The 22,676-nt window shown below is 42.8% G+C and overlaps 2 protein-coding genes and 2 pseudogenes across 23 annotated transcripts in view, besides 11 other annotated features; 1 reads left to right on the top strand and 3 right to left on the bottom strand.

Annotated features, from left to right (window-relative positions):
- Positions 1,422 to 2,004: an enhancer, noted in NCBI's record as "OCT4-NANOG hESC enhancer chr8:74897195-74897777 (GRCh37/hg19 assembly coordinates)". NCBI's record gives its function as "activates a minimal SCP1, AML or CMV promoter by ChIP-STARR-seq in primed H9 embryonic stem cells {active_cell/tissue: H9 hESC(primed)}" and the evidence as "EXISTENCE:reporter gene assay evidence [ECO:0000049][PMID:30033119]".
- Positions 1,724 to 1,924: a silencer, noted in NCBI's record as "peak7073 fragment used in MPRA reporter construct". NCBI's record gives its function as "represses an SCP1 promoter by STARR-seq MPRAs in K562 erythroleukemia cells {active_cell/tissue: K562}" and the evidence as "EXISTENCE:reporter gene assay evidence [ECO:0000049][PMID:32103011]".
- Positions 2,080 to 2,561, bottom strand: DSTNP3 (DSTN pseudogene 3; annotated as a pseudogene).
- Positions 4,181 to 10,769, bottom strand: TMEM70 (transmembrane protein 70). 3 transcript variants are annotated; one of them, NR_033334.2, is made up of 4 exons: positions 10,473 to 10,769; positions 8,103 to 8,208; positions 7,793 to 7,885; positions 4,181 to 5,809 (listed from the first exon to the last, which is right to left on the bottom strand). NR_033334.2 is itself a non-coding variant. In NM_001040613.3 (3 exons), exons 1-2 carry the CDS (start codon positions 10,680 to 10,682, stop codon positions 8,095 to 8,097), a joined length of 324 nt encoding a protein of 107 aa, NP_001035703.1. In that variant the 5' UTR covers positions 10,683 to 10,769; the 3' UTR covers positions 4,181 to 5,809; positions 8,089 to 8,094. The 3 variants fall into 3 exon arrangements, 2 of the variants coding, with proteins under 2 accessions (NP_001035703.1, NP_060336.3); NM_001040613.3 differs by lacking the exon at positions 7,793 to 7,885 and having other exon boundaries at positions 8,089 to 8,208; NM_017866.6 differs by lacking the exon at positions 7,793 to 7,885.
- On the bottom strand, positions 4,454 to 4,972 carry RPS20P21 (ribosomal protein S20 pseudogene 21; annotated as a pseudogene).
- Positions 10,421 to 10,470: a silencer, noted in NCBI's record as "silent region_19297". NCBI's record gives its function as "represses an Ori minimal core promoter by ATAC-STARR-seq in GM12878 lymphoblastoid cells {active_cell/tissue: GM12878}" and the evidence as "EXISTENCE:reporter gene assay evidence [ECO:0000049][PMID:35858748]".
- Positions 10,636 to 10,851: a silencer, noted in NCBI's record as "fragment chr8:74888348-74888563 (GRCh37/hg19 assembly coordinates)". NCBI's record gives its function as "represses an EF-1alpha promoter that drives an FKBP-Casp9 reporter gene in an ReSE screen in phorbol 12-myristate 13-acetate-treated (for megakaryocytic differentiation) K562 erythroleukemia cells {active_cell/tissue: K562(+PMA)}" and the evidence as "EXISTENCE:reporter gene assay evidence [ECO:0000049][PMID:32094911]".
- Positions 10,901 to 10,980: a silencer, noted in NCBI's record as "silent region_19296". NCBI's record gives its function as "represses an Ori minimal core promoter by ATAC-STARR-seq in GM12878 lymphoblastoid cells {active_cell/tissue: GM12878}" and the evidence as "EXISTENCE:reporter gene assay evidence [ECO:0000049][PMID:35858748]".
- Positions 13,785 to 14,673: an enhancer, noted in NCBI's record as "H3K27ac-H3K4me1 hESC enhancer chr8:74884526-74885414 (GRCh37/hg19 assembly coordinates)". NCBI's record gives its function as "activates a minimal SCP1, AML or CMV promoter by ChIP-STARR-seq in primed H9 embryonic stem cells {active_cell/tissue: H9 hESC(primed)}" and the evidence as "EXISTENCE:reporter gene assay evidence [ECO:0000049][PMID:30033119]".
- Positions 13,785 to 15,562: a biological region, named in NCBI's record as "H3K27ac-H3K4me1 hESC enhancers GRCh37_chr8:74883637-74884525 and GRCh37_chr8:74884526-74885414".
- Positions 14,322 to 14,781: an enhancer, noted in NCBI's record as "active region_27537". NCBI's record gives its function as "activates an Ori minimal core promoter by ATAC-STARR-seq in GM12878 lymphoblastoid cells {active_cell/tissue: GM12878}" and the evidence as "EXISTENCE:reporter gene assay evidence [ECO:0000049][PMID:35858748]".
- Positions 14,674 to 15,562: an enhancer, noted in NCBI's record as "H3K27ac-H3K4me1 hESC enhancer chr8:74883637-74884525 (GRCh37/hg19 assembly coordinates)". NCBI's record gives its function as "activates a minimal SCP1, AML or CMV promoter by ChIP-STARR-seq in naive H9 embryonic stem cells {active_cell/tissue: H9 hESC(naive)}" and the evidence as "EXISTENCE:reporter gene assay evidence [ECO:0000049][PMID:30033119]".
- ELOC (elongin C) overlaps positions 14,677 to 22,676 on the top strand; it is a 27,169-nt gene continuing 19,169 nt past the window's right edge. For 2 of the 20 annotated variants that reach the window (NM_001204864.2, NM_001204857.2), the window contains exon 1: positions 14,677 to 14,719. The gene's annotated coding sequence lies outside the window, so the exon portion shown is untranslated. Of the gene's footprint in view, positions 14,720 to 14,772; positions 14,923 to 15,055; positions 15,095 to 16,329; positions 16,386 to 17,290; positions 17,405 to 22,334; positions 22,478 to 22,676 lie in introns of those variants that run through there. The other 18 variants (NM_001204863.2, NM_005648.4, XM_047422160.1 and 15 more) reach the window with 17 other exon arrangements.
- Positions 15,082 to 15,231: an enhancer, noted in NCBI's record as "active region_27536". NCBI's record gives its function as "activates an Ori minimal core promoter by ATAC-STARR-seq in GM12878 lymphoblastoid cells {active_cell/tissue: GM12878}" and the evidence as "EXISTENCE:reporter gene assay evidence [ECO:0000049][PMID:35858748]".
- Positions 15,563 to 16,452: an enhancer, noted in NCBI's record as "H3K27ac-H3K4me1 hESC enhancer chr8:74882747-74883636 (GRCh37/hg19 assembly coordinates)". NCBI's record gives its function as "activates a minimal SCP1, AML or CMV promoter by ChIP-STARR-seq in naive H9 embryonic stem cells {active_cell/tissue: H9 hESC(naive)}" and the evidence as "EXISTENCE:reporter gene assay evidence [ECO:0000049][PMID:30033119]".

The following is a 22,676-nucleotide window of genomic DNA, read 5'->3' as shown; positions in this document are numbered from 1 at the left end:
TATTACGTACCTCTTAATGGGAGAACACTATGGTGACTGGCCTCCAAATAGCTCCCAGTGAGCCTTACCTCCTGGTGTACATGTCCTTGTGAATCCCCTCCAACATCAAATAAGGCTGACTGTGTAACCAATAAAGTATTGTGCAATGACAGTGTGCAAATATCATGTAGGTCACACAACACATTGTATAACCTTGCTCTCTTGGATCACTTACTCTGGGAGAAGCAAGCAGTGCTAAAGAGAGATCCATATGGTGAGAAGCAGAGACCTCCTGCCAAAGAGCTTGTACCACACTGTCAGTCATGTAAGTGAGCCATCTTGGAAGTGGGGGTTCCTCATGCCACAGTCCAGCCTTCAGATGACAGCAGCACCAACTACCTCCTGAGAGAGCTAAAGCCAAAACCACTCAGCTAGGCCACTCCTCATTTCCAGACCTACAGACACTGTGCAGTGTTAGAGATGTTTATTGTGGCTTTAAGCCTGTAAGTTTCAGGGGTAATTCATTATGCAGCAAGATAACAAATATGATCATCTATAAAAGTAGTTTTGTCCAAAATAATCAAACCTCACTCTGATGAAGTTTTAAGATCTACTTACCTATTTATAGGAAGTATAGAAGACAGAGAAACATGTTAAAATACAGCTCAGGGATACAAGTAGAAAATCTAGACCATGAGAAGATCTAAGTGACAAACAATGATTTCTTCAACAGATAATTTGCAAGGGAAAAAAAAATGAAAATGGAAAGGCCTGGCCGGATGCAGTGGCTCACATCTGTAATCCCAATACTTTAGGAGGCCAAGACGAGTGGATCACTTGAACCCAGGAGTTCAAGATCAGCCTGGGCAACATGGTAAAACCCTGTCTCTACAAAAAAATACAAAAATTAGCCAGGCATGGTGGCACGCACCTGTAGTCCCAACTCCCCTGGAGGCTTCAGGTGGGAGGATTGCTTGAGTCTGGGGGGTGGACTCAACATCTAAATGTCTTCTAAATGTCTTTTAGAAGAGCCTTAAAAACCATTTAAACAATTGGTGTGTGTAAGATATGAAACTTATTTGGAGATATATATATATAATTTTTTTAACCAACTCTTCATTCTGTTCTGATTATTTGAATCTTAAATCAAACCAAATGTGGGAAAAAATTATGAAGCAATTGGAAATTTAAACAGACTGATAGATTGATGACATTAGGGCTGTGAGGTTGTTTTGTTTTTGTAGATCTGATAATGGTATTGTAGCTACATTTTAAAATAAGTCCTCATCTTGTAGAGTTACAAAAGTAAATATTTAAGAAAGAAATATTATTATGACTGGAATTTGCTTTCCCCAAAAAGTAGAGGGCAAATGATTAGGTCTAGATGAAACAATAGTGACTATAAATTGGTCATTGTTGAATCTGGATGATAGAGTCATGCAGGTTCACTGTACTCTTTTACTTTTGTGTTTGAAATTCTCAATAAAAATAAAAGCAAGTTCAAGGTGTTCTAAAAGAATCAGAATAAAATTTTTACAAATACATTCAAGCTAAGACTGCCATTCATATCTAATGGCCATCTTGTTACTTTTGCTTCCAAAAGCCTTTCAGTACAGTGAAATCTACATTAGAGAAAAGGATTGCAATATTTTATTGTTAACAGGGTTATTACCTGATGTAACCCAGATGTCAGCTAGGATCACCTTGCCTTTTCACATGCAAATAGGTGACTTTTGTGATGCAAATAAGTGATTCACCTTTGCTAGACAGTGAGAGATTCATTACCTTCCCAGTCTTCCTGAGATTACTCTGCCTGGGGTAGGATAGCAAAGTGGCATGAGGGAGGTGCCTATGTTTCTCCTCCTAACCTTGGCCTGAGTTGGTTCTGCTGATTATTTCAGTGATGAATCATCCTGTTATCCTATGCATGCTGATCCTTTCTCTGTCCTAGATTCTCACTCCATATCATGCCCTTGAGATGTCACCTTTCCCACTTAGTGAAAGCATATTTTTCCCCTAGACTACCAAGTTGCCTTCTGAAGAATTATTCTGATATCAACCAATAAAAACAAGTTTTTCACTCCACTACACACTGATAAAATGCCTTGAAATTTCTTTTTCATTGCATCCTTGGATGTTGCACAGATCATTTTACTTTTCAGAGGTGCTAGTTCTCATGCCTACAAAAAAAAAATCAACTCTTCTGTACTGGATTCTTTTGTTTCAAAGCTTGCATCATACAAAGCACAGCGACAATCTTTTTCAGGAAGCATTCCCACAAAATGCTTGAAAGGACCAGTTATGGTTACACCAACATCTCCAACCAAGATCTCTTTGCCTTCTTCTACAATGATGCACTTTTCGTCTGCACCGAGACAAAAAATGACAGCCTTCTTTCTTTTCTTGATTTCTTCTGGTGTGGAGCATTTACGAACTTTCATGTCATAAAAAATGCGACATACTTCATCAGCTACTTGCACTCCTGAGGCCATCTTCGCCTCTGGGGTTGCAGGGATGCGGGGGAGGGAGCCGGTGGGCAGTGAGTCTGCAGGGCATCCTCTTCACGGCTGTGGGACCGAGAGCACAGTCATAAAATGATCACATGGATATAGAACATGTAAATGTTAGATATGAGTTCTAAATTTCTCTTCAAAGAGTCAATATGTATGTTCAATTCTTTGCCTTCTACTTTTAAACTTAACTTCCTCGTAAAGCAACCTTTTCTGATTACCTGCTCCACCCTGACTCATTCCAATTACCTGCTCATTCTCCACAACCATTTTTCCCGCCAAACCACTCACCCTATCAGTCTCTTTAAATTAGCCAGTCGGAATTAGTTTAGCCTGTGCGGTCTAACCCTAGCCAATAGGAGAACAACAGAGCAGCAGGGGCCACATGTGTCAGGAATAAGACCCCCTTTTCCTCCCTTGTCCAAGTGTGCGCTCACCATTGCTCCATCTGTGAGGGCGCCCCCTTCTATAGAAGTAAACTGCCTTGCTGAGAAGAAAAAAATAAAATGTTATATTTGAGTGCTATTTCTTTTGCAGCACCAAAACTTTATTTATAACATAAAGAAATATATTGCACTTAAAACAAGTTATGAAGAGATGTAATATTGGAAGAGATCTTTAAAATGTAAACAATGCTATTTTTTCTAGGGGGAACTAGGAGTGATTTTTTCCTTTTTTGTTTTTGAGATGGGGTTTTGCTCTGTCACCCTGGATGGAGTGCAGTGATGTGATCCCAGCTCACTGCAGTCTTGATCTCCCAGGTTCAAGCGAGTCTCCCACCTCAGCCCCCCAAGTAGCTGGGATTACAGGCAAGAGCCACCACACCCAGCCTCTTTCTTCCTTCTACTTTCTAATGTATCCATAATAAACATTTGATCATAGAATAACTTTCTATAGAAAGATATCTCTTATCTTAGGGGTGTCCAATCTTTTGGCTTCCCTGGGCCACGTTGGAAGAATTGTCTTGGGCCACACATAAAATATACTAATGATAGTGATGAGCTTAAAAAAAAAATCTCAAAAATAAAATTTAAGTTTACGAATTTGTGTTGGGCCACATTCAAAGCCGTCCTGGGCTGCAGGCTGGACAAGCTTCCCTTATCTAGTAGGTTGCTATGAAAAAAATAGAAACACATCTCTCATTCATTGCTAGGATACATCTAGGGGACAAAGGACAGAGAAGCAAGCAGGCAAAAACCCACCTTGAGCAGAAGATGGCACAGAGGAATGGCGGTGGGAATTCTCAGTCTGGTGAGCTGGACAATCCAAGCAGAGGGCAGGCTCTACGTCTCAGAAAGACAGCTTTTCTGTCTTATCTCCTATGAATAAGTTTCGAGCAGCCTGGGAGTTGAATGATCTCTTTGAACAGATGTTCCTGCTGCTTCCCCATCAACCTCCCTCATACACATGTACGCCATAAAGTTTAAATTTACTATCATGGTGGCCATAGACAATGTTAGGTAGCTCCATAAAGACAGACGGGGTGTTTCATTCTTAACTGTGATCTTAGTAACTAGCACAGTACTGGGCACTTAGTAAATATCTACTGATCTAAATAGTGTGGTTTGAGGCCTCTTGTTCCTGGCTAAAAATCCTTGGCAAGAGTCAATCTCCACTTTACAATAGAGGTAAAAATCTTACAATGGATATTCTTGACAAAGCTAGCATAGAGACAGCAATTTTACACAAGGTATTTTTCACCTGTTTAATAACAGTGGTTTTCCTACACCCATAGGGTGCCACCAAGGGAGGAGTGCACAGTTGCAGAAACAAATTAAGATACTGAAGACAACACTACTTACCATTTCCCGTATAGCTAACCACCAGTTCAACTGTACATGTATGTTCTTATGGGCAATCATGCCAGGGGTTAGGCAAAAACCTGTGTTCTGAACCAAAGAAGACTTAAAACTGCTCCCATAATTTGTGAATTTCTTGAAATTTTGCGGTTTTTTGAAAATTTTTTAACAACTGGTAATCAATTTATGAAAACAGTTGACTTAAGCATTTGCAATGGTGACTTCCATCTCAACTCCTGGCTCAATACTGATGGAAGTAATCTGCTTAACTATCTGAGGACTGCGCAAGTCAATGAGTCGCTTGTGGATTCTCATCTGGAAACGATCCCATGCCTTAGAACCTTCACCGTAAGTTTTTCTTGTAGTGATTCTCAAAGTCTTGGTAGGCATTCAAACTGGTCCTTTCACTGATTCTTTTCCTTTGCTCCTCAGATCAAGTCAGCACACACCTTATCCAGGGATTTTACGTTGCAACTCGTTAGAGTGATATGAATTCGGTGAATTGCCACCTCTGACTCCACGGGTGTTTTTCTGGTATGTTTAAAAGCCATGGCTGCTGCAAGGCTTCCTAGCCAGCTTCCTGACAGACTTGGTCCTCAGGCAACAGCAAAGAGCAGTGAGTCAGGAGCAGGAGCAGGTGGACCACAGCTCCGCACCACCTATGACTGTGTCTTCCTCAAAGAGAAAATGTCTTTTAATGTCGGAAAATATTTATACACTTAGAAAAATCCATACACAAAGAATAAAGCAACTCTCCCATTTGCTACTGACATCAGATCCCCAGTTTAGAGTCAACCACAGTAACACAGAACTCTTATACTAGCATGAACATATTTATTCACATACCTTTCTAAAACACGAATGGTAGATACTACATTTTGGTTTTCAAACATAGCTTGTTTTATTATAAACAAACATCATTCTCTGGAAATTAAAAGCTTTGATAATTTCAAATTATTTTTAACAATCAGTCACTAACGGAATGCAAAAGGCAATTTTATTATTATACATTAAAACGTAAATCACATTTGAGCACGAACACTAACAAATAGGCTCATTTGTCATCTTTATGCCGTTTCTCTTCACTGGTTTCTTCCATATACAAAATAAATTCTTCTTTGTCATAACCCATTAGATGGATATAGTCTTCACGGTTTGGAAAGAGCACTGGATTAACTAACAGTGATTTTGTTTTAGCATAAAATGTGGTAAATACATGTTTAGCATCTGGAATCTTCACATCATTCTGGTGAAACACTGTACTCGTTTCTGCAAGCATAGCATTGTAGGTAATGGCTTTATAAGTGTCTGTTGTGGCCTCATGGTACAATCGAATGACATAGCCTTTTGTAATAAAGTGAAGCAGCACTGGGGTGATCACCGTAAAGCTTCCCATGATGCCATAGAATATGATTTGAATAGGCAGAGGCACACTTTCAGAAATAGCATTATTTTGTGTAAAAATGTATGGCAGAAATGTAAGGCCAATCAGACTCGTAGAATAAGAGAAACATTTCACACCTAAATGGGAAAAAAAGAGAGAGGATCAATACTTTTAAATTTTATAAAAGAATCAATCTATCCCACTAATTCTTCCATTTTTCTTCTTACTGTATCAGCTCAAGACAACAAAATCAAACCATAAATACAGTGCTTATTATATTCTAAGCTCTGTTTTAAGGACTTTACATATTTTGACTTCAATGTCCCTGCTACTGACCATTAGAATGCACTGCCTCTCCAGGCAGGAAATCTGCTTTAGGGTTTAAGTGGCCCTACCTCAGTTCCACAATAAAGTAGTTAATATTACTTAAAGATCCTTACTAATATTGTACTACAAAAGTTGATTCAGATAGCAGATTATCAAACAAAACTCTCTATTAACAAGCACTCCAGTATATCTAACATAAAATATTCAAACATGGGAAATTCTATCAGGCTAAGTGCCCAGGATTAAAACAGCAAATCACCAGAGAAATAAAACCAGTGGTTAAAAAACATATCGGACGGCCAGGCGCATTGGCTCATGCCTGTAATCCCAGCACTTTGGGAGGCTGAGGCAGGTGGGTCATTTGAGGTTAGGAGTTCGAGACCAGCCTGGCCAACATGGTGAAACTCCCATCTCTACTAACAATACAAAAATTAGCTGGGCATGGTGGCAAGTGCTTGTAATCCCAGCTATTCAGGAGGCTGAGGCAGGAAAATCCTTGAACCCAGGAGGTAGAGGCTGCAGTGAGCCAAGACTGCACACTGCACTCCAGCTTGGGAGACAAAGCGAGACTCCATCTCAAAAAAAAAAAACAGAAACATATGGGAAAGGTATTCAATTTCTTTAGTAAGGAAAGACATTCAAGTTAAAACAATGAGATAAGCAGCCTGGCCAGCATGGCGAAATCCTGTCTCTACTAAAAATACAAAAATTAGCCAGGCTTGGTGGCATGCACCTATAATCCCAGCTACTGGGGGTGCTGAGGCAGGAGAATTGCTTGAACCTGGGAGGTGGAGGTTGCAGTGAGCCCAGATTGTGCCACTGCACTCCAGCCTGGGCAACAAGAGCAAAACTCCGTCTCAATAAATAAATAATAAAAAATACAAAAAAAACACTGAGATACCATTTTTACCTATTACCTTAGAAAGATTAAAAATAAATGACTTCTAGCAGAGTGCAGTGGCTCATGCCTGTAATCTCAGCACTTTGGAAGGTGTAGGCAGAAGGACTGCTTGAGACCAGTTTGAGACCAGCCTAGGCACCATAGGAAGACCTGTCTCTACAAAAAAAATTTTTTTTAATTAGCCAAGGCTGGTCTGATGGTAATGAGTTATCAGAACTTAACACTGGCATCACTAAAGTTGGTATACAATGTCCCCACTGCTAAATTTGACTAGCTTAAAAAAAAAAAAATCAGCCAGGTGTAGTGGCACATGTCTGTAGTCCTAGCTATTTGGGAGGCTGAGGTGGGAGGATCACTCGAGCCCACAAGTTTGAAGTTGCAGTGAACTATGATCACACCACTGCACTCCAGCCTAGATGACAGAGACCCTGTCTCTAAAAAATAAAAATTATTTTTAAAAAATGGCTTCTAAACTGTATACTTCAAAATGATTAAAGTGAAAAATTTTATGTTTATCTAACCACAATAAAAAATGACTTAAAATGTAAATTTACCTTACCTTTAATTTATAATTTTAATACGATCCTAATAAAAAATACCATCTGTTTGGAAAATAAAGTTGAGATCCTAAACAAGTTGATTATAAAGTTTATTTGGAAAAACAAAAGCAGCAAAAAATAAAAAAATAAAGCAATGAGGGGAAGTTACCCCTTCGAAATATTAAAACATAATAGAGGCCGGGCGTGGTGGCTCACGCCTGTAATCCCAATACTTTGGGAGGCCGAGGTGGGTGGGTTACTTGAAGTGAGGAGTTCAAGACCAGCCTGACCAACATGGTGAAACCCTGTCTCTACTAAAAATACAAAAATTGGCCAAGTGTGGTGGTGCATACCTGTAATCCCAGCAGGAGGCTGAGCCAGGAGAATCGCTTGAACATGGGAGGCGAAGAGTATGGTGAACCAAGATCATGCCACTGCACTCCAGCCTGGACAACAGAGTGAGACTCTGTCTCAAATAAAAATCTAAAAATGCAAAGGTCTCTACATCTTATCAACACACCTCAAGAAAAAAAAATGAAAATCTAATTTTCCTTACGTCTTGTAATTAAGGGATGCCATAACAACAAGTAAGATATGGTAAGGATATTTTTACAATTAAAAGAGAAAAAAACAAAGTAAGTACACCCACCTCCAATTACTTACCAAACACTGCTCGGGCCATATTGCCAGTATAAATTAGCCTTCCATCTTCTGATTTGTCAGATGGCGTATTTAAGAATCGAACATATCCTTCCCAATAAACAGGGATCTATTGAAACAGGGATCATTATGGTCAACTAACCTTCTTAAATTTTTTTAAGTTTTTTTTTTTGAGACAGAGTCTTGCTCTGTCTCCCAGACTGGAGGGCAGTGGTGCGATCTCAGCTCACCATTGCAACCTCTGCTTCCCGGGTTCAAGCAATTCTCCTGCCTCAGTCTCCTGAGTAGCTGGGATTACAGGTGCCCACCACCACACCCGGCTAATTTCTGTATTTTTATTAGAGACGGGGTTTCACCATGTTGGCCAGACTGGTCTTGAACTCTTGACCTCAAGTGATCTGCCACCTTGGCCTCCCAAAGTGCTGGGATTACAGGCATGAGCCACCATGCCCAGCTTAAGTTTATTTTTAAAATTGTAATGCAGGTGCAGTGGCTCATGCCTGTAATCCCAGCACTTTGGGAGGCCGAGGGGGGCGGATCACTTGAGGTCAGGAGTTCAAGACCAGCCTGGCCAACATGGTGAAACCCCGTCTCTACTAAAAATGCAAACAATTAGCCGGGCATGGTGTCTGGCGCCTGTAATCCAGCTACTCCGGAGGCTGAGGCAGAAGAATCGCTTGAACCTGGGAGGCGGAGATTGCAGTGGTCCGAGATCACACCACTGTACTCCAACCTGGGCAACAGAGCACGACTCCGTCTCAAAAAAATAAAATAAAATTGTAATGAAAAGAACTTGTCACATGAGGTGACATAAGGAATTCTCCCAAATAATCTACAGAGTTAAAGAAATAAATTGGCTGACAGAATGGCTTGCCTTAATTCTAGTCACAAGTAGAAAACTGCAGAGCTGGAGTTTGTTAGCTTAGCATCCCAGCTCTCAGGTTTCTAGGTCTAGTGTGACCTTGAACAAGTAAAAATAGTAACAGTTTCTTCTACTCCACTGTTAATGACGACATCATTTCCATTCTATTTAAATGCAACACCTTTTCAAAAAATAAATACATTTAGCTGGTGTAATGGAACACGTCTATAGCCCCAGCTACTGGGGAGGCTGAGGTGGATCACTTGAGCCCAGGAGTTTAAGGCCAGCCTGGGCAACATGGCAAGACCCCATCTCTAAGAAATAAAATTTAATTTTACTAAAATAATTTAAGTAAAATACTCCGCAAACTCACATTATATTTAAAGTCCAGGCCTTTTACAAATACTGCTAAAATATTTATATGATAGTATTAAAGAGATCAAATCTTTCTCTAAAGACCTTGTAAATACCGTGTATCCCCTGGTCCTCTTATTTCTTGACAAGAAATAAAATTTGGCTGGGCACAGCGGCTCACGCCTGTAATCCCAACCCTTTGACAGGCCGAGGCAGGAGGATGATTTGAGGTCAGGAGTTTAAGACGAGCCTGGCCAACACGGTGAAACCCCGTCTCTACTAAAAATACAAAAAAAAAATCAGCCGGGGTGTGGTGGAGCGCGCCTGTAATCCCAACTACTGGGGAGGCTGAGGCAGGAGAATCGCTTGAACCCGGAAGGCGGAGGTTGCAGTGAGCCAAGATCACGTCACTGCACTCCAACCAGGGTGACAGAGCGAGACTTCACCTCCAAAAAAAAAGAAATAAAATTTACTTGAAATCCTACATCAAATTTCAAGGGAACAGAAGCGTTCCCCATACATCTGAAAATGAGTTTCACAGTGTATACACTTCAAAATGTAAAAGGCATGCCTAATTCCTCAATGCTGAAATGTAATTAGATTCCAATTTCCATTTTAAGCATTTCTTCCAAGTTTTAACCAGGTTTGCCAATCCTGATATTTTACAGAGTAGAATTAGAAGACAATTTATTCAGATCAAAATAAAAGAATTAACATCTGCATCCCCCTTTTCCCAGGGACCAAAGTAATTCTTAAAAGTACAGCCACCTCATAAAAGTAGAACAAGCTCAAAGTCAGGTTAACCTGGCTCTTTCGGTTCTATTTCCAGGTGCTGCATCCAATTTTTTGCAAATTAACACTTCTAAGCTTCTACTCAAGGGCAGAAAAGGAACTACATATAGTTGTCACCACAAACCCTCTGGATTTGGAACTACCATAAAAGTAAGCACTTTCCAGCCGTTCTCCTGGACTCGCGGAGGCTGAGGACCCCGGGGCCCTCGGCCTGCTACTTCTGCAAGCCCCGCAGAGGGGGCTCCTCCCGCGCTCCAGCCACGGACACCTGGGAGAGGTCGCGAAGAGCCGCTGGGGCTCCCCAGGCCCGACACGACGCCCGCCCTCCCCGCCTCACTTGGGACACCAGACCTCGGACGCCCTACCTGCGCTCGACCCGGACGCCGGAGAAGGCGCGCGGCTCCCGAAGGCCCCGTACTCCAGCCGGCTACCGGCCCCGAAGGCCCGCTGCTGGAGGACGCCCGGGAGACAGAGGCCCGGGGACCTCGGAGCGCGGCGGCCGCACACAATGCAGTCCTCCTTCCGCAGAGAGGCAGTTCGACCGCCCACGGGCTGCCCAACGCCAGAAACAGCATCACGCGGGTGACGAGCGGCTGCGGACGCCCCAGCTGCACGAGTCCACGACTGCGAGACACGGCTTCCCACCCGACTGCCGCACAAGTGGCGCATGCCCAGCCCGGGACGCCTGACTGGCAGCTGGGCTGCCTGCGCGTGCGCAGAATCTGCCGCCCGCCTGCCGCCCGCCTGCCGCCCGCCTGCCGCCCGCCTGCCGCCCGCCTGCCGCCCGCCTGCCGCCCGCCTGCCGCCTTCCCGGCCGCGCGCGTTATCCGCCAGCTGAGCTGGGAGCCCGCCGCTCTGTCCTTGGCTCAGCGGCTCCTCCTTCCTAGAATTTTACCTTCTTTATAACAGTGTGGAGGGGCAGAGGGCTGTACGAGAATGACAATGCCCAGAAGCCAGGGTTAAATATTTTTTTTTCTCGTGGACGACATCACTAAAAACTGTTTCCTTTGCGGAAAATGATTCTAGCCTGTTGGCACAGAAGAAAGAATATACGATTTGAACAAAAATGAGTGATAACTTAATTGAATCATCGGGTTGGAGGAAAATAAATGGAATTGTTCATGTAATATTGATAGGTGTTACCAGATTTGTCTTCGGAAATCATTCACATCCATATACACATTGATTCATTACTTGTTAAAGAGGTACTGAATCTATTGCCAGGACTGAGCTAGGAGCAGAGGATACAAAATACTAGATTAAACTGGGAATCCACAGTGCTTAAACAGTGGAGGAAAATACCTGAAAATTGGCTAGAATATAATGTAATACAATTGAGACACCGCAATATACAAAATGTGGCTGGCCGTGGTGGCTTACACCTGTAATCCCAGCGCTTTGGGAGGTTTAGGCAGGAAGATCTCTTGAGGCCAGGAGTTTGAGACCAGCCTGAGCAATACAGGGAGACCCCGTCTCTACAAAAAAAAAAAAAAAAAAAAAACCTAAAACAAAAATAAGCCACACATGGTAAGTGTGTGCCTGTGGTCCCAGCTACCCAGGAGGCTGACATGGTAGGATTGCTTGAGCCCAAAGTCGAGGCTTCAGTGAGCCAAGACCACACTACTGCACTCCAGCCTGGACCACAAAGTGACACCGTGTCTCAAAAAAAAGAACAAACAAATGCCACAGAAGTACAAAGAAGAACATGATTAATTTTGCCTCAGAATGTCTTCAGACTGGCTTCACATTTAGCTCAGTCTTGAAGGATGAGCATCTTAGTAATAGAAACACACTTTTGTTTACCACTGCAGAACTATACATGTTTTTGATTTGACATGTTATTTGCACCGGAGAGGAACAAATTCATAGTCTAAAATAATGTGTGGCCAGGGGCGGGAGCTCACGCCTGCAATTCCAATACTACGTGGAGGCCCAGGTGAGAGGATCACTTGATTCCAGGAGTTTGAGACCAGCCTGGGCAACAAAGTGAGACCCTGTCTCTACAAAAAATTTTTAAATTAGCTGGGCATGGTGGCACCTGCCTGTAGTCCCAGCTACTTGGGAGGCTGAGGTGGAAGGATCACTTGAGCCCAAGAGGTTGAGGCTGCAGTGAGCCCTGATTGCACCACTGCACTGAGTGACACAGCTAGACCCTGTCTCAAAAATAAAAATAAAAATAAATCAATAGAATATGATCATGTTGGCAACTCCAAATACTGTCTATTGGGGGGAGTATTCAGAAGGAGATAATGATAATACCTCTATATGGATAACTTTATTTTATAAAAAGTTAGCTTCTACTTACATTTTGTTTATTTTTATTTTAATATTTGTTTTAATAGTAGAGATGGAGTTTCACCATATAGCCCAGGTTGGTCTCAAACTCCTGAGGCTCAAGCTATCCGCCCACCTCAGCCTCCCAAAGTGCTGGAATTACAAGGGTGAGCCACTGTGCCCACCTTTTATTTTGTTTTTGAGACAGGGTCTTGCTCTGTCGCCCAGGCTGGAGTGCAGTGGCACCATCATAGCTCACTGCAGCCTTGACCTCCCAGGCTCAAGTGTTCCTCTCACTTCAGCCTCCCAAGTACCTGGGACTACAGGCCACGTCACCATGCCCAGCTAATTTTTGTATTTTTAGTGGATACAGGGTTTCCTTTTGTTGCCCAGGCTGGTCTTGAGCTCCTGGAATCAAGGGATCCTCCCGCCTGGGCCTCCCAAAGTGTCACAGAACCTGAGCTACCACACCTGGCCTATTTACATTTTAAAAACTCTTCTGTTTAGGGTAATTCACTCACAATCAATATTCACTCTATTATTTTGCTGATATATTTAAAATTTTCACATAAAAATGTTTTTCTTAACTATATTAAGAGAACTCAAATTTTTTATCTTCTGTAAAGCTGTTCCCCCTACAAATACTGTAAGTAAATGAAAATAAAAACTTTTGTTTGATCTATTTCTCAAAATTTCTAAATAGATAAAATCAGATTATAGTCTGAAAACTCTGTACCATAGATTTACATAGAATTGTTATTTATGTTAGATGGATTTTCCAGTTCCAGTAAGTTAGAGACATTTGTTAAATATAAACTAATGGGATTTTAGAATGATTTTAAGGATGTTTTTAGGCCGCGCGCAGTGGCTCACGGCTGTAATCCCAGCACTTTGGGAGGCCAAGGTGGGCGGATCACTTGTGGTCAGGAGTTTGAGACCAGCCTGGCCAACATGGTGAAACCCCGTCTTCACTAAAAACACAGAAAAAAGTCGCCCGGCGTGGTGGAGCACACCCGTAATCCCAGCTACTCAGGGGGCTGAGGCACGAGAATTGCTTGGGCCTGGGAGGTGGAGGCTGCAGTGAGCCGAGATTGCGCCACTGCACGCCAGCCTGGGAGACAGAGCGAGACACCCTCTCAATAAAAAAGAAGGAAAGAAAAGAGAAGAGAAAAGAAAAGGGGCCTACAGCCTCCTCATCTGCACCTCCATGCCTGTCCTCCCCACCAAACTCTACTTCGAGCTACCATTACAGCCAAAAAATCTTTGTTCTGATTTCTGTAAAGGCTTTAAAAAATTTATCCAAGACAATCTCCTTGATTATTGCAACTAATTATAAAAAACCAATGTCTTTTATCTACCAAATTAACTAAATTAAACAAAAAAAAAGCCTTTCTGGCAAGTCCTCAGTTCAACAAACTCTAGATAGCCTGTTATCTATTTTTTGAGCACACAAAGTGCCTCGTTGAGCACCTTGTAATGTTGTCTTGGCCCTACATACATTCTCTTCATGCCACACTCCTGGAAAACAGTAGAAGGTGAACTTTATTTAGCTGTTTCAGCCTTCCTGGAAAGGTGCCTGTATATCTTACCATAGGAAACGCGGGGGGGTGGGAAGCGGGGCGTGGAATGAGAAAGAAGTTCCCAAAAACTGAGTAACGGTTTGGCAGGCGCCTGGATTTTCTGTGCGTGAGCTCCGGATCCAGGACAGCTGAGCTAACCCAGAGGCAAAGGCAGGACCCTCGCGGGTGGAGTGGGGGACGTGGTTAGTTTTCAGTTAACATTGAATTCTACCGGGAAGAGAGGAAATGAGGCCAGCCGATTGCGCTAGTCGTTGCTGTGCTGGCTCTTCAGCACGCACAGCAACTTTTCACCAGGGACAGATGCTGCTTCATAAAGAGTACGATCTCGTTAGCAAAGAAACCGCCCTCCCACGTTTCAATCTTTCCTCAGCAGTCTCCCACCTCCAGGCGTAACCCTAAATGAGAGGTACGGACAGTCTCTGTAACCACCAAAATCTTAACACGCAGTGCGAGAAACTACAAGTCCCAGGATGCAGGGCTGCCTCGGTCCCAACGCCGACGGTATCCACCAGAGAAACTACAAATCCCAGAATGCAGTGCTCTCTCGGACTCCCGAGAGCCTCTCTAAGGATGCGTCTTTACAGCAATTGGATCAGGGTCTGCGCTGCATGCTGGGAATCCAGAAGAGCTAGACTCGGATTGGTCGAAATTTGCCGGTTGCGTTCATAGGCTGGCCTACTATAGGGGAAAAGAGTAGGGCGCTACGCCCTACCTCCAGACGGAAGTGAGCGACACACTCTGCGTCCTCGCCTCACCAGGTACGGATCTCCCGCGCGTCGCCGAAAGCGGCTCTGACCCAGCGGAAGTAATTCTTTCGACTGCCCCGGAACCCACCGGAGCAGGCAGCTGGGGGTGGGGGGGCGGCCCTGGGATAGGGGCTGTGGCAGTACGCGGGGACCCGGCTGCGGTGGCTGCGGGACTGACGAGTGAGTCTCGGGCTGGGGCGGAAACGGAGCTCCGGGTAAGGGTGGAGGGCGAGGGAGGCCGAGACGGGACGAGCTCGCAATCCCACTTCCCACCCCTTCCCTTCTAGGCGGGGAAGGAACGGAAGCTGTTAACCTCCTTGGGCCTCCCCAGCCCCTAGTTTGGGGGAGGGGAGAAGAGGGCGGCGGGACCTTTCCTGGCGCCGCTCGGTGGGTTTGGAAAGAGGTGGAAGGAGGGGCAGCAGCCAGCGAGACTGGGCCTTCTCCGGGCTGAGCGCGGGAGGGTGGAGTTAGGAGCATGGTAGCCCTGTCGCTTTTCCTTTCTGCTTGTTCCTCGTGTCCGCTCAGATTAGTTCTTTTCTTGAAGTCAGTCCCTAGCCCAGGGAGAGGTCTCTCGCTTCTTCTAGCTGCAGTACCCGAGAAGTTTACCTTCTGGGTAACTTGTTGGGTGATTCTATGCTCGACTTCATGAGTTGGGGGTATCGTGCATCTACTGGCCGTCCAGTCTTGTCTGAAAGGAGGTATCTAGTGTGAAATACTGTGCCCATTGAGTTTCTCTTAAGGAACTGAGATCTGTTAAGTAACATATAACTGTGGAGTTTGTGCCATTTAGCGTGAGCATTTCTACTCCACATTGCTTTTAGTGTAGAAAACCGAAATTCTTTTTTAAGGGGCCGGGGGAGACAGACTTGCTCTTGTTGCCCAGGCTAGAGTGCAGTGGTTCGTTTTCAGCTTGCTGCAACCTCTGCCTCCCAGGTTCAAGTGATTCTCCTGCCTCAGCCTCCCACGTAGCTGGGACCAAGGCGCATGCCACCACGCCTGACTAATCTATTATTAGTAGAGACGGGGTTTCGACATGTTGGCCAGGCTGGTCTGGAACTCCTGACCTCAAGTGATCCGCCCCCGTCGGCCTCCCAAAGTGCTGGGGTTACAGGCGTGAGCCACCGCGCCTGGCCTTGAAATTCTTTAGTGTCTTAAAACCTCACTTTCTCACTTTTTAACTGCCATATTTGCTTTTTTTCTTTTTCTTTTTTTTTTTTTTTTTTTGAGACGGAGTCTCGCTCTGTCCTGAGGCTGGAGTGCAGTGACTTGATCTCGGCTCACTGCAACCTCCGCATCCAGGGTTCAAGCCATTCTCCTGCCTCAGCCTCTGGAGCAGCTGGGATTACAGGCGCGCACCACCACTGCCGGCTAATTTTGTTTTTTTTTTGTTTTGTTTTGTTTTTTAGTAGAGATGGGGTTTCACCATGTTGGTCAGGCTGGACTCCTGACCTCAGGTGATCCGCCCGCCTCCACCTCCCAAAGAGCTACGATTACAGGCGTGAGCCACCGCGCTTGGCTCCATATTTGCTTTTTGATCCCCGAAAGTTGTTTCCTTTTCTATTCAGTTACCTAAAATGACATATGTCTGATCTCATTTACATTATAATCATGTTGAAACGTAGCAGTTTACATGTGGATTTATTCATTCTGGAGATACAATGGCAAGGAAACAGCTGTGGTACGTACTATAATGGATATTTATTGTTTCTTGCCAATGATGATTTGGGGTCCCTGTTTAATATTAAGTGACCGTTCCTCTTTTTCTTAAATATGAAATTTGATAACTACCATTCAAAAAATACACGTGTATGCATTGCCAGATGGTAATTCTGTAATATAATAGGCACTAGTTTACAGCCAGAAGTTATAGTCAGTCCTATACATCAAGTTCTAAAGTGATATTTAATTGTTTAAATCTTCTAAAATGTTTATCTTGGTTTTTTTGGTAGATTTTTTAGCACTGGAAAATAATCAGGGAAATCTTTGCTATTATGCTCATATTTATTTTTGAGTCAGAGTCTCACTCTGTTCTGCACTCCCAGGCTGGAGTGCAGTAGCACTATCACGGCTCACTCTAGCCTCAACCTCCTGGGCTCAAACCATCCACCTGCCTCAGCCTCCCTAGTAGCTGGGACTATAGGTGCCCACCACGACACCTAGCTAATTTTTTGTTTTGGGGGCTCAAGTAGGCTTCCTGCCTTGGCCTCCCAAAGTGCTGGAATAACAGGCATGAACCACCAAATCTGGCCAGCTATGGTCATATTTATGTGTTAATGCATTTCAGCTAAACTGCTGTCCTAAATTCTTTATTGTTGTTATTAAGTAAGAGCAGAAAAAGCCCATCCAGTAATGCCTGAATTTCAAGCCTCAGCGATTAGGAAAATAATAGTACATTCACTCAAGAAATATTTATTGAGCATCTACTAAGTGCCAGGCACTATTCTAGGCCTGCTGTCAAGAAACTTGAGGAAAGAAAGGATATGTGTAAGTAAGCAAGTATAGTTTCAGGAAGTGATAAATGTGAAAAAAATATAGCAAGGTTAAGGGTTAGAGTGACTGGGATGGGGTGTCTAATTTTGGTAGGATCATCAGGGAAGGAAGACCTCTCTGAGGAGTTGATGTTTTACCTGGAGACCTAAATGATGAGGATTTAAAAGCTTTTCGGACAACAGCAATTACAAATGCAAAGACCTTGAGGTAAGAGTGAACTTGACCGATTTCGAGGAATACCAAAAAGGCCAGTGTGACTGGAGCATAGTGAAGGAAGAGTGGTGGGAGACAAGATCAGAGTGGTAAGTAGGGAAGTAAATCAAATGTCCAGTTGAGACATGGTAGCTTGAACTAGAAGTGTGGAGTTGAAAGTGAGTAGTAGTCTGATTTGGAATGTAATTTGAAGCTGGAGCCAAATGGGTTTTGCTTTCTTCCCAGGAACAAAACGAACAAAAAAAAATGTTTTTTGAATAACGAATCACTTTTCCAAGAATCTGGGTAAACAGCAGTGCATGTACTGAAATGGGGAAGACAAAGGAAGGGAGTATCAGTTTCTGAGATTGATAAATCAGAAGTTCTATATGGGACTTACTGAGTTCGATAACTAGTAGACACCTGAGAATATGTGCAGTAGAAAAGTTGGATATTCACGACTGGCACTCGGGAGAAAAACTAGGGAGATGATCTGGGAGTCATATTTTATAGATGATAACCTCTGGTCTGGAGGACATCAAATAGGGAATGTTAAATGGAGAAGAAGGCAGATGACTGGGAGCACTCCAGTTAGAAGAGGAGCATACAGTAATGGAAGCAGAAAAGCCAGGAGTGTGTGACATCTGGAGTACTAAGGAAGAAATGTTTCAAGATGGAGGGAGTAGGCAATTGTATAAAACACTGCTAAATGAGGATTAAAAATTGACCATGTGACCAAGTGAAGTAGTTGAAATTTGATAAGAACCCCTAAAATGGACTGGTGGGCCAAAGGCTGATCAGAATAGGTTAAGAAGTGGATGGGAATAATGGCCATAGCAGAGTCTTTAGTTAGGTGACGGAATATCAATCATTGCTTAAGTGGAAAGGTTGACCTTTAGTAGGAAGGACAGTTTTTATTCAATATTTGAAATAGCAGGGTGGACAAAATATATAAACACAGGAATGCTGAAGATGGAGAGACAAGGCAACTGAAGTGATTGGTTTCAGTTTATTTTTAGCCTATCTTTCGAAAGGTTCTGTTAATATGTAGAATCTATGATTAATACACATTATATGTTGGGAATATCTGCTTATAATTTTAAAACTGAAACAAGGGAGTTTGGAGATATTATTTGAGAGAATAATTAGGTCGTTTGCAGGGGTGAGGCAGACAGACTCAGAACATGCAGCGCTCTGCAGCCCTTAAGTTCTGTGTTGTGGGAGGGCGACTCTGGGTAATAAACATGGGAAGCTGAGTTATAGGTGGTTGTCTGGGAAGGATGAATTTCAGATGGATTTAGTCATGAAATAGAGCCAGAATGGACTTTTGGACATAATTGAGTCCAATTGTCTCATTTGGAAGATGAAGAAACAGAAGTCCTATCACTTAATTTATCCGAGTCTCAAGATAGAAATGTCAAACAGAGTAGAAATTCAGATGTGGAGATGGATTCGGGTCTATATAAGGTAGCCATTGATTTTCATTCAACTGGGCTAGTTCTTAATTTATGATAAGAGATGAAAGCTGTGGACCTTCTCATGCCTCTTACTGTGAACTGCACATAGGCACAAAATTGTGCTTACAGATTGAAGGGTTTGGGATTCTACTGCTTATCTGTGAACCTCGAGGAATGGGGGACTGCAGATTAAGAACCTGCTAGAACAGAGTCAACAAGTTAGAACCACAGGCCACATCTGGCCCACTACCTGCTTTTATACTACCCGCAAGCTAAGAATGGTTTTTAAATGTTTTAATAGTTGGACAGAAATTCAAAGTAAATGTGTATTTTATAACATGAAAATTATAGGCCGGATGCAGTGGCTCACGCCTGTAATCCCAGCACTTTGGGAGGCCAAGGTGAGCGGATTACCAGAGGTCAGGAGTTTGAGACCAGCCTGACCAAATGGTGAAACCCTGTCTCCACTAAAAATACAAATAATTAGCTAGGCGTGGTGATGCATGCCTGTAATCCCAGCTACTCGGGAGGCTGAGGCAGGAGAATCACTTGAACCTGGGAGGTGGAGGTTGCAGTGAGCCAAGGTTGCACCACTGCACTCCAGCCTGGGTAACAAGAGCGAAACTCTGTCTCAAAAAAAAAAAAAAAAGAAAAGAAAATTATATAAAATGTACCCTTTTTTGCCCATAAATAAAGTTTTGTTGGATCATAGCCACACTCAATCGTTTACATCTTGTCTGTGGCTGCTTTTGCACTCCAGTGGCAGAGTTGGAGTAGTTGTAACAGAGACCTTACAGCCTGCTAAGCAAAAAATACTTATTTTTTGGCCCTTTAGTGTGTCAACCCCCACACTAAAAATGTAAATTCCAGGATACGGGTGGAGGAGAGGTTGTTGGATTTATTTTGTCCACAGATTCCTCCCAAGCATGTAGAGCAGTGCCTGGCACATGGTAGGCCCTTGATACATATAGAAATGAACCTCTGGTTCAAAAATAGAATAATGGCCAGTGTTTTAATGTGTGCTAGGCAGTATTCTGAGTGCTTTTATATGTAAAGCCATTTATTCTTCAGAACAGCTCTGTGAGGTAGATGCTGTATTATCCTCATTTTACCGTTGAAGAAACCAGGCAAGGAAAGATTAGGTTAGTTCTCCCGCAGTGACATAGCTAGGAGTTGACTGATTTTAAGCACTACATTATATGGAGGGCTGAAATCAAGTCTTCAGAAATGATAGCAGCAAAAGGATAGATAGGAGTGATGAAACAGGATAATGTAGCAAAGGAGGAATACATTCTTATGTAGTGTTGTTTACTATTATATTAGGCATTCAAGACCCATGTCTTGGGCTATGTGTGGTGGCTCACACCTATAATCGCAGCACTTTGGGAGGTCAAGGCAGGAGGTTTACTTGAGCTCAGAAGTTGGAGACCAGCTTGGGCAACACAGGGAGACCTCCACTTAAAAAAAAAAAAAAAAGAAATTTTAGCCGGGCTTGGTAGCAGGCTACTCAGGAAGAAGGTGGGAGAATCCTTTGAGCTCTGAAGGTTGAGGCTGCACTGAGCCAGGATTGCACAACTGTACTTCAACTTGGGTGACAGAGCAAGAACTTGTCTCAAAAAAAAAAAAAAAGACCCATGGCTTGGTCAGTATCTCAGTATGTGTTCCTTATGTGTCACTGTTCCCCTCTTTGATAAAGTCCAACTTCCCAAACTCTCACCTCTTTTCCTATCTTCCTACACTCTCTTCTTGACTCACTCATCTGGCCAGACTGTTCTCCTTGCCATTCTCCCTCCATAAAAAGCTGTTCCTTCAAATATCTGTGACTCATTCCCTTGCTTTCTTCAGATCTCTGTTAATGTTAGTTCTTCACCATGCCGTATGTATTATTTTGTTTTGGTTTTCTGTCCCCACCATTCTTCCCATTAGGTTGGAATGTTTGTTATGTTCATCTCTGTCCCCAGTGCCTAGGTGAGCATCTAGCATCCTAACCCTTGGTAAATATTTATTGAATGAATGAATCTGTAAACTGATTTCCAACAACACTGAGTTACATTGTGTGCCCCAAGCTGTCTGACTGAGGTCATACTGTTCACTTTGCCTGGATCTCCCTCCTTTCCAGTTTTGCCTGGTAAAAATACCTCTACCCATCGAGACCCAGATCAAAAGCTACTTTCCTTTTATAACTGTTCACTTAACAGATCTTCTGTTGTAGATTTGTAGTCTCATATTTCCTTTCTTTGGGACGACCAACTCTTATTCCTCCTCTGTTAGCATTTGCATAGCTAGAAAATTTGGGTTAATTTTATTACCGATGTCACTTTCAAAAGCTTAATTAGGCAGAAAACCATCCTAGAGTGATGATATCTTTGGAGTTAAGGTAAAATAAACTTCAGAAATGCTATCTTTTTTTAAAATTCTAGCTTTAACCTACATACAGTGAAATGCTAATTGTACCATTTAGTTTTGACAAATATATAGCAAGACATTTTTATCACTCCAGAATGTTCCTCTCTAATCACCTGCTGAGCTGTCACCATTGGTTTGTTTTGCCTGTTCTATAATTTTATATAAATCGGATAATACAATGTATACTTTTTTGTTTGGCTTGTCCACTTAGTGTAGTATTTTTATATTCTTCCATGTTGTATCAGTAGATCATCCCTTTTTGTGAATAGTACTGCTCTGTATGAATGTACCACAGCTTATTTATCCATTCTCCTATTATGATGGACTCCCCATCAGCAGTGTATGAGAATTCATTTGCTCCACATCCTCTCCAGCCTTTAATGTTCACAGTCTTTTTAATTTTAGCTATACTCGTGGCTGTATAGTAGTATTTCGTTGCAGTTTTGAGTTTCACTGATAAGTAATAATGTTGAGCACTTTTTAATGTGTTCATTCAATTCTTCTGCCCAACTTTAATTGGATTTTTTTTTTATTGACATACAGGAATTTTTTAATTTACTCTAGATGCAAATCCATTGTCAGATACGCGTTGTGAATATTTTTTTCCAGTTCGTGGCTTGACTTCATTTTTTTCATTTTTCTTTTTGGTTTTTGAGAGTTTTTTTTTTTTTTTTTGGTTTGTTTTTGAGACAGTGTCTTACTCTTGCTCAGGCTGGAATGCAGTGGAACCATCATGGCCTGCTGCAGCCTTACCCTCCTCGGGCTCAGGTGATTCTCCCATCTCAGCCTCCCAAATACCTTGGGCTACAGGTATGCACCACCATGCCCAGCTAATTTTTCTATTTTTTATAGAAACGGGGTTTCACCACCATGTTGTCCAGGCTGGTCTCAAACTCCTGGGTTCAAACAGTCAGCTTGCCTTGGCCTCCCAAAGTGCTGAGATTATACGTGTGAGCCACGGTGCCCAGCTATGGTATTTGATGAACAGAAGTTTTGTTTTGGAGAAATGCAGTTCATCAAGTTTTTCATTTACAATTTGTGCTTTTTGCATCTTTTCTGAGATTTTTGTTTTGTTTTTTGAGACAGAGTCTTGCTGTGTGGCCCAGGCTGGAGTGCCCGGCTGGTCTCAAATTCCTGACCTCAAGTGATCTCCCTCCCAAAGTGTTGCGATTGCAGGTGTGAGCCACTGCACCTGGCTGCTGAGAAATCTTTGCCTACAGTGAGGGTATGAAAATAATTTGTTTTCTTCTAGTAGCCTTATTTTGCATTTTAAGTTGAATTCTGTGAACCATCTGAAATTGATTTTTGTGTATGGTTTAACAGTGAGCTTCTTATCCATATGGATATTGTTCCAGCTTCCTTTGTTGAAGAGACTGTCCTTTCTCACCATACGCTTTGACCTTTGACTCACTTTTCCATATAAG

This window comes from Homo sapiens, chromosome 8, assembly GCF_000001405.40.
Source record: "Homo sapiens chromosome 8, GRCh38.p14 Primary Assembly".
NCBI classification, from domain to species: Eukaryota; Metazoa; Chordata; class Mammalia; order Primates; family Hominidae; genus Homo; species Homo sapiens.
The sequence above is the reverse complement of the archived record's forward strand: the minus strand, read 5'-3'. Positions and strand labels throughout refer to the sequence as shown.

What these genes read in the sequence shown, in the direction of transcription:
- TMEM70 (NM_017866.6), bottom strand. Translation starts at nt 10,682, where the DNA reads ATGCTGTTTCTGGCGTTGGGCAGCCCGTGGGCGGTCGAACTGCCTCTC. An exon ending in GGCGTCCGGGTCGAGCGCAG is followed by an intron (nt 8,209 to 10,472) that starts GTAGGGCGTCCG and finishes CTGTTTCAATAG; the next exon opens with ATCCCTGTTTATTGGGAAGG. An exon ending in TATGGCCCGAGCAGTGTTTG is followed by an intron (nt 5,810 to 8,102) that starts GTAAGTAATTGG and finishes TTTCCCATTTAG; the next exon opens with GTGTGAAATGTTTCTCTTAT.